Genomic DNA, 12,235 nt, shown 5'->3' on the forward strand with positions numbered 1-12,235 from the left:
AACGTGCAGGTTTGTTACATATGTATACATGTGCCATGTTGGTGTGCTGCACTCATTAACTCATCATTTACATTAGGTATATCTCCTAATGCTATCCCTCCCCACTTCCCCCACCCCATGACAGTCCCCGGTGTGTGATGTTCCCCTTCCTGTGTCCAAGTGTTCTCATTGTTCAGTTCCCACCTATGAGTGAGAACATGCGGTGTTTGGTTTTTTGTCCCTGTGATAGTTTTCTGAGAATGATGGTTTCCAGCTTCATCCATGTCCCTACAAAGGACATGAACTCGTCCTTTTTTATGGCTGCATAGTGTTCCATGGTGTATATGTGCCACATTTTCTTAATCCAGTCTATCATTGATGGAAATTAGGGTTGGTTCCAAGTCTTTGCTGTTGTGAATAGTGCCGCAATAAACATACATGTGCATGTGTCTTTATAGCAGCATGATTTATAATCTTTTGGGTATATACCCAGTAATAGGATGGCTGGGTCAAATGGTATTTCTAGTTCTAGATCCTTGAGGAATGGCCACATTGTCTTCCACAATGGTTGAACCAGTTTACAGTCCCACCAAGAGTGTAAAAGTGTGGAATGGGAGCCTTATGACCTGCAGTCAAGCAAGATAGGTCCCATAATTTCTTCATGGCCAGTTTTTACATAGAATATGTTTAAGTTTTATGGCTGGCTTTAGAGAAAAGGAGTTCTGGTTTCTATGGCCTGCCTTGGGAAAGAGGGATTGTCGTTTTAGCTCGCCTTGGGAAAGAATGAGACTGAGAGACAAGAGGGCAGGAGAAGGTCAAATAAAAACTTTTGCTTCTGAGGCCTTCACTTTAGGGTATTGTTTTCTGAGGCCCAACAGAGCATCATTGGGAGGAAAGGAATTCGGCTGCATTGAACTTGGGTAGCTCCCATCTTTGTTGCCCACTTCCATCTCAGGAGAACAAGGGGATTGGATGATGGGCCCTTGAAGTCCTTTCTGGCACTTATCTTCATAGAGATGTTCACACACACACACACACACACACACACACACACACACGCACACACACTCATCCTCACCTGACATGACCCAGCTGTTAGGACTGAGGCTGCGCTGTCTGAATGCGTGCAAGCATCCCTTGTCCCTGCCGCATTGGGAGGGAACTGTATTTTTGCGGATGGTAAATATTTAATTCTCACCTAGCACAGTGTGTAAATCATGCCACATGTGGTGATAGCCTCAGGGAAAACCCACTCTCCAACATTTATGAAGCAGATGCTCTGACCTCAAGCCCAGACCTCTACAAAATGCAGAGTGTGGGGCAGCAGGCTGGGTCCTCGGCTGAAAGCAACCCGATAATTGTCATTCTTCTTTTCTTGGGGGAGCCATGTCATTTATAAAAATACAATGGGATTCTGAACCTCAGGACTGGGGGGAGGATTTGTGAGAATTATTGCCCCATCAATGTCTTCAGACTGAGACGTTCGTGCTCTGCCTTCTAAGAATACTGGGTTGACGCAGTGGGAAATTGATAAGGTTCCAGGAAACTCTATGGAGAAATGTAGTACAGAATGTATTGATTCTGTTTCTCTTCAGAAACCTTAAGAATGTATGCACAGGGAAGTCAGTTTTGGAACAGGAATGTTTACCCAAGGCCTGTACCAACATTGTACCTTGGAAGTAAATAACTTATCTTTGATTTTACAAGCTCATGGGTGGAAGGCACTTGCCTTGAGTCTCAAATGAGACTTTGGGCTTTTGAGTTAATGCTGGAATGAGTTTAGACTTTGGGGGACTACTGAAAAGGGATGACTGTGTTTTGCAATGTAAGGACATAGCTTTGGGGGGCCAGAGGTATAATAATATGATCTGGATGTTTGTCTTCCTGACACTCATGTTGAAATGTAATCCCCAGTATCGGAGGTGGGTTTAGTGGGAGGTGTTTGGGCCATGGGGGTGGATCCCTCATGAATGGCTTGGTGCCTTCCTTGTGGTAATTCTTGAGTGAGTTCTTGCTCTGAGTTTATGTGAGATCTGGTCTAAAAGTGTGTGGCACCTCCTCCCCCCTCTCTCTTGCTCTCTTTTTCACCATGTGGTGGACTGGCTCCCCCTTCACCTTCTGCCATTATTGTAAGCTTCCTCAGGCCTCACCAGAAGCTGAAAAGATGCTGGTGTCATGCTTGTACAGCCTGCAGAAGCGTGAGTCAAAATAGGCCTCTTTTCTTGATAAACCTGAGGCTTTTCTGTATAAGACTCAGGTATTTCTGCGTAGCAATGCAAGAATGGACTAACACAGCTGTCACCATGGCAGGAGCAGGTGATGGAAGAATATGCCCGCCTTCTTGGCTCCTCACAGTTGCATGGCATGTGTGCCTGTGTATTTGTGTGCATATGTGTGTATATGTGCATGTTTGGGAGTGTTCTGCTTATGTTTGTGTGTGGATATGGTGTGTCTGTGTATGTATGCTGTCGTGTATGTGTGTATGCATGCATGTATATATATGCTGTGTGCTGTGTCTGTTTATATGTCTGTGGTATGATGTGCATTGTGTAAATTTGCATGTGTGTGTGTATAAATATATGGGATGTGTGGCTGAGTGTGTCTATGTATGTGTGTGTATATGATACATAGCATATATATGTGTGTATGTACATATATGTATGGTGTGTGTGTCTATATGATTTGTCTATGCATGTGTATGTGTGTTTGTATGTCTCTGTGTGCGTGCATATATGGTCTGTATATGTGTGTTTGTGGGGATTTGTGTGTTTGCTTGTGTGTGTGTGTCTTTGTGTGAAAAGCAAGGAAGGGAGAGAGACATTTGTTTTGTGTCTGCCACAGGGGTCAGCAAACTATAGTCCACAAGCCAAGTCCAGCCTGCTGCTTATTTTTATATGGTCTGCAAACTAACAATAATTTTTACATTTTCAAGTGGTTGACAAAAAATCAAAAGAAGAATTATATTTCATGACGTGAAAATTATATAAAGTCCAAATTTCAGTGTCTCACAAGTAAAGTGTATGGGAATGTGACTAGTGCTCATTCACACATAGTCTGTGGCTTCTGTCATGCGACAATGGCAGAGTTGAGTGGTTGTGACAGCGACTGTGTGGCCTATGAAGCCTAAAAATGGACTACCTGGCCCTTTGCAGAAAATGTGTGCCAGCCCCTGGTCTTCCTTACATGGGAACTTTTCATGGTTTATCTCGTTTAATCCCCCTTTAATCCTGTGGTGCTTTTTTGTCTTCACTGTACCAATGCTTGAGGTAAGGGCAGGAGCCTGGAGTCACATAGCTTCTGGTCTGAGTCTTTCAGACTCCACGATGGGCACACTGTCTACTCTCCCTGCCGGGTGACACCTCCCTCTCAACCTCCATCACTCTTAGGATAAAATCTAGGCCAGATGCGGTGGCTCACATCTGTCATCCCAGCACTTTGGGAGGACAAGGCGGGCGGATCACCTGAGATCAGGAGTTCGAGACCAGCCTGGACAACATAGTGAAACCCTGTCTCTACTAAAAATACAAAAATTAGCCTGGCATGGTGGTGGACGCCTGTAATCCCAGCTACTCGGGAGGCTGAGGCAGGAGAATCGCTGAGCCTGGGAGGCAGAGGTTGCAGTGAGCTGAGACTATGCCATTGCGCTCCAGCCTAGGCAACAAGAATGCAACTCTGTCTCAAAAAAAAAAAAAAAAAAAAAAATCTGAAATCCTACCATGGCTTAGGAGGCCTGGCCAGGTCTAGCCCCAACCCAACCCTGGCTGTGCACCTTTCTCTCCCCAGAAATCACACTCTTGTCCCTCTAGGGCAGAAAGTCCCTCAGGCGTCCATGCCCTGTCTGTCTCAGGGCCTTGGCGCTTCTGCTTGGGCATCCCCCTGCAGCCATTTCCCAGATGCAGAGTCAGCAGCTTATTCCTTCCCCAGCATGTCCTGTGATTGCATGAGGGCTAATTCCTATAATAGATCGCTCAACACATATCATCTGTGTCATAATGCTTTCCTGATGGGACTCTAACGGATACACCCTCCCTGTGCCCTACCAACCCCCAGACTGGATTAGTGCCTCTGTTACTATGTCACCTTAGACTTCTACTTCAACTGTGCTGATCACTAATGGCATAACTGTTTGCATAATTATTTATTGGATGCTTATTTTCCCTTTAAATTCCATGAAGGTGGGTAGGCTCCATGCCAGCCTTGTCCCTACCATGGCTACTTAAATCAGAGCATGCATTTTCTATGCAGAATACTTACAGAATGAATGATTTATTCTAAAAGCAGAGAGGGGACATGAACATTGATTTTGCTTTTAAGTGGTGGTTCACATTGTTTGCAGAATCTCTCAGCTGTCTAGAACCATTGACAAGTGCACTTGAGTGGCCACTTTCCACTCGCTGGCTCACCTGGCGCCCCAGCTTCTCAAAACAGGGGGACACAGGCATCCCCATGTGGCTGAAAGACACACATTTAGGGTAATTATCATTATGTATTTTGTTTGTTTGTTTGTTTGTTTGTTTTTTTAATTGGCCAGAAGGTCATTGTAGAGTTGGAATTTCCCTTTGTGGAGTCCCAGAAGCATGATGCAGAGGAATGAGCCTGGAAAGAAGAGATTGAGCCTAGTTTCAACTTGCTGTGTGGCCTTGGGCATGTCACCTCACTCATCTGAGCAACATGCTTATTGGTAAAAGACCTGGTTCTTCTCCCAGTGTGCCTATGGGTCCTTGAGTTTCTTAATTATTGATGGGTGCTTGTGAACTTTTAGTTGGAGGGAGGATTCCTGGATGTCCTACAATACATAAGAAAAGCCTGCAAAACTTTCAAATATCCCCAGAGACATTGATGTAATTGATAAGCCTGCTTATCTGAGATAATTTGTCACTATAAATATTTCACCATATACAAAAATATAAAATATGTTGTTCATACATGTAAGGTACTCTGAATTTTCCATGAATATAATACCTCGAATATCAGGGAAGGTTAAATAGGAAAGGACGGCATTCCATGAATGCTACACCTCGAATATCAAGGGAAGGAATATCAAGGGAAGGTTAGCTTTGTTAGGAGCTTCATCAAGAATTGCTTGCAATTTTAGAAAACTTATCACCAATAGCACTGCCACTTGTAGTCTTGGGTTGATAATAGAACACACATATACCCATTTAACTTATAACTGTTGCATTTCTTGTGATTCCAAGTATAGATTTGACAACTTCATGTGTCTACTGGTGTAGACCTATCGAACGCTGCATTTGCTAGATCATAAACAACTTTCCTTTTATGTCTGCTTTATATAACATAGTGAATCACGTTGGAGTTTTTTGTCTAGAAGTTTAGGTATATAGGTAGGTTCCCTAATCAATTAATTTCAGAATCATAAAATAAGCATTGCAAAAAATTGCTATTCAAAATGAGGCTGCATTGGAAAGCACTGGAGTCTTTAGACGATCTGAATGTGAATATCCTTTTAGCTTTAAAACATGTCTGCCTTTTCTCCATTCCACAATGCCACATTTGATTTCTAAAGGAGGTTTGGCAAAGGGAAAAGAGAGAAAACCCAAAATTAGCATGTTCAGGTATCGATATCTTCTTCTTCCATCTGTTCTTCCTCTTAACTGAATATTTGCATATTTATTGAAAACTTTTAGAGCAATGGAGGAGCACCAGTGACATCAAAGCTTCTTGGGAATTGTGTTGTGCTTGACATTGTCTTGTTTGCAAAATAGATTTTTCCAGTTGCAGAATTTAGCATTTACATGCAACAAAACTTGCCATTTAACATGATATAAGGGTTCTGTGTCTGCCTAGGATGTAGAAAACTGGAAAGAATGTCATTCAGACTTTAAGGAGAAAAAGCCAGATTAACTACCAAATCATGGCTTTTCCTGAACCCATCAGAGAGCCAGAGAGCAATCAAGTAGCTGGCCATCAAGGAAGGAGAGTCTCTCCCCCAAGAAAAGGCAGTGCACAAGCACCCTGGGGGTACCAGCCACAGGGGTTCACACTCACTCACAGACTCTTCTGTAGACTTCCACCAGTGACCCCTCAGAAAGATTGCAGAGGGGAGCTGGAGAGAGCGTCTTTGGTAGTGCAGGTCTATAGGGCATGATTGGCACCACTGAAGGGGTAGGGGGCCTGGGTGGCAGGGAGAAGGGGAAGAAGCAGAAAACCCCACCCTTCTGCCTGGTGCTTCCCTCATTGCAAAAGCCTTTAGCTGTTGACAGAGGAGGCAGTGGAATTTGTAGCCTCCAAGGCATAGAAACAGACCCATTGCTGCTAAGGGAAGGCTAGAAGACAAAGCTTCTACTCTGGGACAGAAAAGGCCTTGGGCTAGTGTATTAGTCTGTTTTGTACGGCTATAAGGGAATACCTGGGGCTGGGTAATTTATAAAGAAAAGAGGTTTATTTGGCTCATGATTCTGCAGCTGTGCAAAAAACATGATGCTGGCATCTGCTTGGTTTCTGGTGAGGCCTCAGGGAGCTGCTACTCAGAGCGGAGAGTGGAGGGGGAACAGAAAGTCATATGGGGAGAGAGGGAGTAAGAGAGGGGAGGGAGGTCTCAGACTCTTTAACAATCAGATCTCATGCGAACCCACTCATTACCATGAGGATGGCACCAAGACATTCATGAGGGATCTGCCCCCATGGCCCAAACACCTCCCACTAGGCCCACCTCCAACACAGGGAATCAAATTTCAACATGAGATTTGGAGGGGACTAAAATTCCAGACAATATCAGCCAGAATACTATTCCATCACCATTAGGATCTCCTATCCCTAGGGGAGGGTAGGAAGGCTCACAACAGCCAGAAAGCAGAGCTTGGCTTTCATGGGAAGGAGGGTCGGGGACACTTAGAAAGCTGCTGGAGGGTGCCAGGATATTCCACCCTAAAATACATCTCTTTAGCATATGGATTATTTTGAGCTAAAGGCCACTGACAACCAGCAGATGCAGAAAAAGCTCTAAAAATAGGGCAAAGTTTTCTTTATGTAAAAGAAATTTGCATTTAGAAAGGAAATTTCCATTTGGAAATGTGTCTCCATCTCCCATACCAGGAAGAGGAGAACTCTTAACTTTTATCAATGGAGAAGATGCAGACTCAAATTTGCATAGCAAATCTAACAAAATAACCTTTGTTTACTTTCTCTGGTCCAATTCCCATAACTTGCCACCTTCCCTTCCCACTCCCCATATTCCCCTTACCCACATTCCTTTGTATAACATGGTATATAAGCCTCAATCATCTGGCACCTCCCTGAGATGGATTTTTTTCTTTGTGAACTCCCAAGCATTTTTCATAATTAAAATGGTTTTTTTCCTCTTGCTAATCTGTCTTTTATCAGTCTGATTCCCTGACCCCAGCCATTGAACCTAGGAGAGTAGAGGGCAAAACATTTTCCTTCATTATGCTATATTCTTAAGCCCCAAACACACAAGGACTATCTAAGACTGATGCAAGCCTAGGACAACAGAGATCTGCTTGCAACCTGCCACCAGCCTTGCAAATACTGAGTGACAAACAGCAGCATCTACTGATGGTGAAGGATGGAACTTGAAGAAACATCCTCTGTGAGGCTGGCACATAGGATTGTGCAAAAGCTGAGTTAGTGGAGTAAGATCAGTGAGAAAAACCTCTGAGCACTAAAGCCCCCATCCTAAGCTAAAGCATTGTTAATGGGTTGCAAAAGCTTTGGCACAGGGATGGTAATTGTATAAGTTTACTAGGGCTGCTGTAACAAAGTGCCACAGGCTGCAGTAGCTGAAAACACAGAGATCTATTTTCTCATAGTTCTAGAGGCTAGAAGTCTGAGATCAAGGTGTCAGCAGGGTTGGTTCCTTTGAGGCCTCTCTCCTTGGCTTGCAGATGGTCATCTTCTCCCTGTGGCTTCACACAGCTTTTTTGTGGTGTCCATGCATCCCTGTTCTCTTTAATAAAGACATCAGTCAGATTGGATTAAGCCTTAATTATGATTTCAATTAAACTTAATTACCTCTTTAAAGACCCTATCTCCAAATACAATCACATTTGGCTTCAACATAGAAATTTTTGGGGAGGGGACAGAATTCAGTCCATAATAGTAACCATAGCTAAAACAAAAACCTAAAGCAGTTCAATCCTAACTAGATTTACTCAATGCCACTTCTTGTCTTAAAAAAAAATCACCTATCACTGTAGGTATTTTCCCTATTGCTGCATAGTCGTCATGGCTGCCATTTTTAATGGCTGCTGATGGTTTCTTTGAGTGCTTTCTTGTTCTTCACTTATGCCTTTCTCTATCATTGCACATTTTAGGTTAGTTCCATTTTTTTCCCGTAAAGAAAAATCCTCATGCACATCTTTTCCCATAGTTTGGAATAGTCTCTCAAGATAGGTTCTGAAAAGAGAAATGACTGCATCAAAGGGCATGACTCCTGTCATGGGCTGAATTGTGTCCCTCCAACATTCATATATTGAAGCTCTGGGTCCCAGTGAGATGGTATTGGAGATGGGGCCTTTGGGAGGTAATTAGGGTTAAGCGAGTTCAGAAGGGTGGGGCCTTAAGCCAATGGAACTGGTGACTTCATAAGAGGAGGTGGAGACACCCAAAAGCTCTCTGTCTCCAGCTGCCATATGAGTACACAGCAAGAAGGTGGCTGTCTGTAAGCCAAGAAAAGAGCCCTCACCAGGAATGGGATTTGCTGGCATTTTGCTCTTAAAATTCTAATTTCCAAAACTGTGAAAAAAAAACTTCTTTGTTTAAGCCACCCAGTCTGCAGTATTCTGTGTGAGTCCAAGCAAATGAATGTAACCCCTTTTATATGCATTACTTTTCAAAAAATGTATCAACCTGCCCTTGCCTACATTAACAGCCATCTGCCTTTTTTTCTGAGTGTTTGTATAAACTTCTTAGTACTTATCCCTTCTAAATTAAGTTTTCTGTCATCTGTAAATGACAATTCACATGCACTCCCTCATGTAAATAATTTACAAAGCTATATGTCAGATTCTAGCACTAATATCCAATAATTCAAAATCATATATTTTGTATCTTTAAGCCCATCAATAACAAAGTAGTCCTTCTAATTCTGATATTTCTCTTTTTCTCTCTATTTCTTGGATAATCTTGTTCATGTACCAGGAAACACACACATAATAAAAATCATCTCCCTCCAAAAAACTCAAACAAACCCCAAACCCCAAATAAAAAACTCTAAGGCCATACAAATTCATTCCTAACCCCTATAAGTATTTTAACATAAACATTTTTCTAAAGCATATTTATATGTATCTTAATACACAAAAAGCGTTAGTTAAATCCTTGTTGCTGTTAAGTAATTTGTGTTAGTTTAGAAAAGGGAGAGGAAAACTTAAATGAAACATTTTTCTTTCATGTGAGTCAGCAAATACTGTGAGTGAAAATTATACAGAAATTAAAAATGAATAGCCAAGGAGAGATTTACCATAGTTGGATGATTTGACTTCTAAGATAAACCCTGACTCACGCTAGAAAATGGCCTCTCTGGGACTCCAGAAGTATCATGTCAATGGAAGGCCAAATTTTGTTCAGAACATTTATTTTATTATCTTTGATAGAAGCTACTTCAAAGTCAGGCAACAAACATTTATTAATCTTCCAAGGTTTCTTAGGACATAAAGAATAAAGTGCTATCCTCATAGAATTTTCAAGTTATTGGTTTTGTCAAATTGTTGTTTTAAGGTTGAATGATGATTGCAATTTTCCCTGTGGACTTGCATTTGAGTTCTCACATGAGCTAATACTCTCTGAAAGAGAAAAATTTCTTTGCTTCTCAGGTCTGTTTACTTTATATTTCTTCTCTATTTAGTTTATTTTTCTTGCAGCCAATGTACAGGTCAGGACTTTTTGAGGTATTAGTGAAATTTTCAGATGATCCAAAATTGTCACTGTCTTAGTTTGTTTCATGCTGCTATAACAGAATACCTGAGAATAGATACTTTAGAAAGAACAGAAATTTATTTAGCTTATAGTTTTGAGCGCTGCAAAGTCCAAGAGCATAGTGCTGGCATCTGGTGAGGGCCTTTGTGCTGTGTCATCTCCTGGTGAAGGTGGAAGGAAAAGAGAGAAGGAGACAAAACAAGAGAGCATCCTTGTGAGAGACAGAGAGAGAGAGGAGAGGAGGGGAGGGGAGGGAAGGGAAAGGAAGGGAAGAGAAGGGAAGGGAAGACAGCTGAACTCATCCTTTTGTCAGGAACCTGCTCATGTGATAATACACTCCTGTGATATAATGGCATGAATCCACCTATGACAACAGAGCCCTCATGACCTAATCATCTTTTAAAGGTCTCACCTGTCAATGCTATTGCATTGGAGATTAAATTTCCAGTATATGAACTTTTCAAACCTATAGCAGTTACTTGGAATTAAAATTGGCTCTTAAATTCAGTTTCCTTATCATTCAATTTCCTGACAAAACATGTGACCCAGTAGTAGCAAAATTGATGGAGAGGAGGATTTTAGTTTGAGTCTCCTCTCCCACCAAATAAGGCGATTCCAGAAAGCAAGAGTTAGAGAGTAGGGAGATTGACAGAGGGTTTGTCATACAAGGGTACCCTCATATGTTATCAGTATAATACATAAAGCCAATAGGGGTTGCTTCTGTAGTTGATGAGGGTTCAAGCCCAGTGGAGCCCCTGCAAGGAGTATGGGATGCCTCCCAGAAAGGTCTGCTTGAAGGACAGGAGGGTGCAACATTTATTCATCTGTTCCCATTCCCATTGGTTGGGGATATTAACCTCCTCCTCCCTTGCTCCCAACTACTGAGAAGACTCCAGAGCAGGCAAAAGTGAAAGACCCAAGGTGGCCATCTGAGGTGAGATGCTGCAAAATGCAAGATGGGTGATATGGTTTGGCTGTACCCCCCTCCAAATCTCATCTTGGACTGTATCTCCTATAATTCCCACGTGTCATGGGAAGGACCTGGTGGGTGGTAATTGAATCATGCGGGAGGGTCTCTCCCATGCTGTTCTCGTGATAGTGAATAAGTCTCATGAGATCTGATGGTTTTATAAATGGGAATTCCCCCTGCACAAGCTCTCTTGCCTGCTACCTTTGTCTTCTGCCATGATTATGTAGAACTGAGTCAATTAACCAAGAGTTGACTTTTTAAGTCTTTCTGTTTTATTGGTAAACTGCTGAGAAATTGTACTACACTTGCAACTACTCTTTGATTATGATAATTATAAGGAAACAAATTAATAAATCTGGGGGTATTAATGGACATTCTTCTGTTGTTCTTGATATGCAATTGGTTCTTCTTGTACAGATCTGTAGGAATAGCTAGACTTAAAATTAGTGCATGTGACATGCTTTAAACATATTTGTTTTTTCAGGGCAATTGTGGGCAAGTGCAATAGCAGCCTGCAAGAATGCAACATTTATGTATATTCTCTGGAAAATGCACAACCCTAACCTTCCAAGACAAAGACAAATTGTAGTAAGAGCATTGACTATGGTCGGCCATGTTTAAGGATAACTCCAGAATACTCTTGACTTTTTATTCCATCATTAAGATAAAAATAAGTAATAACATGTGTCCGAGTGTGACACTACATAAAATCAAGCTGTGATTTATGCCTTCTTAAAAGTTTAAAATACTGAACGGATTACTGAGGTTAGAAATGAAATAATGTAGAGTCAACCAGGTGAACATTTAAATGAATGTTTTAAAAAGCAGGCTATTAACATCATTACCAAGTAGCAAGGTAGTGAGTATTGTTATGAGATTTCATGTTTCCTTTGGGGAGGGTGGGCTGGGAGATTTTGCCATCGTTTTCACATAGTAGTAAGCTTTTTTTTGGAATAAATGGATTTCAAGGACTGCTTAAATTTAGGATGAGATAATGATAGGGGATTGGAGATGAGTAGACTGGGATTCCAAAGATGACTTGAAGATGATGAAACTGTGGTCAGCAGTGCACTTAGTACATTTTGCAGAGAAGAACACATACTTTAGGCATTTCCAGAAAAGAATACGTACTTTAGGCAATCTAGCAAAAGTTGTTGCTCTTAATAACGCTGAATTAATGGATAAAGAGAGATGTAGATGTGTAAAATGAAGAAGCCCAGTGAAGGTTGAAGAAATACATGGAGGTGGTGGATTTTGCCCTTCACTATGGGAGGGAAAGATGTTGGAGAGATCCGAGGGGAAAGAAGTAATAGGAAGAGGAAGAGGAGGTCAGGGTATAGCCCAAGAGAAGTCAGGCAGCAGACACATGATCTAGTGCGAAACAGGCTT

The 12,235-nt window shown here is 41.9% G+C and overlaps 1 annotated feature.

Moving 5' to 3' along the window:
- Positions 5,873-6,094: a silencer, noted in NCBI's record as "fragment chr21:41184118-41184339 (GRCh37/hg19 assembly coordinates)". NCBI's record gives its function as "represses an EF-1alpha promoter that drives an FKBP-Casp9 reporter gene in an ReSE screen in phorbol 12-myristate 13-acetate-treated (for megakaryocytic differentiation) K562 erythroleukemia cells {active_cell/tissue: K562(+PMA)}" and the evidence as "EXISTENCE:reporter gene assay evidence [ECO:0000049][PMID:32094911]".

This window comes from Homo sapiens, chromosome 21, assembly GCF_000001405.40.
Source record: "Homo sapiens chromosome 21, GRCh38.p14 Primary Assembly".
NCBI lineage: Eukaryota > Metazoa > Chordata > Mammalia > Primates > Hominidae > Homo > Homo sapiens.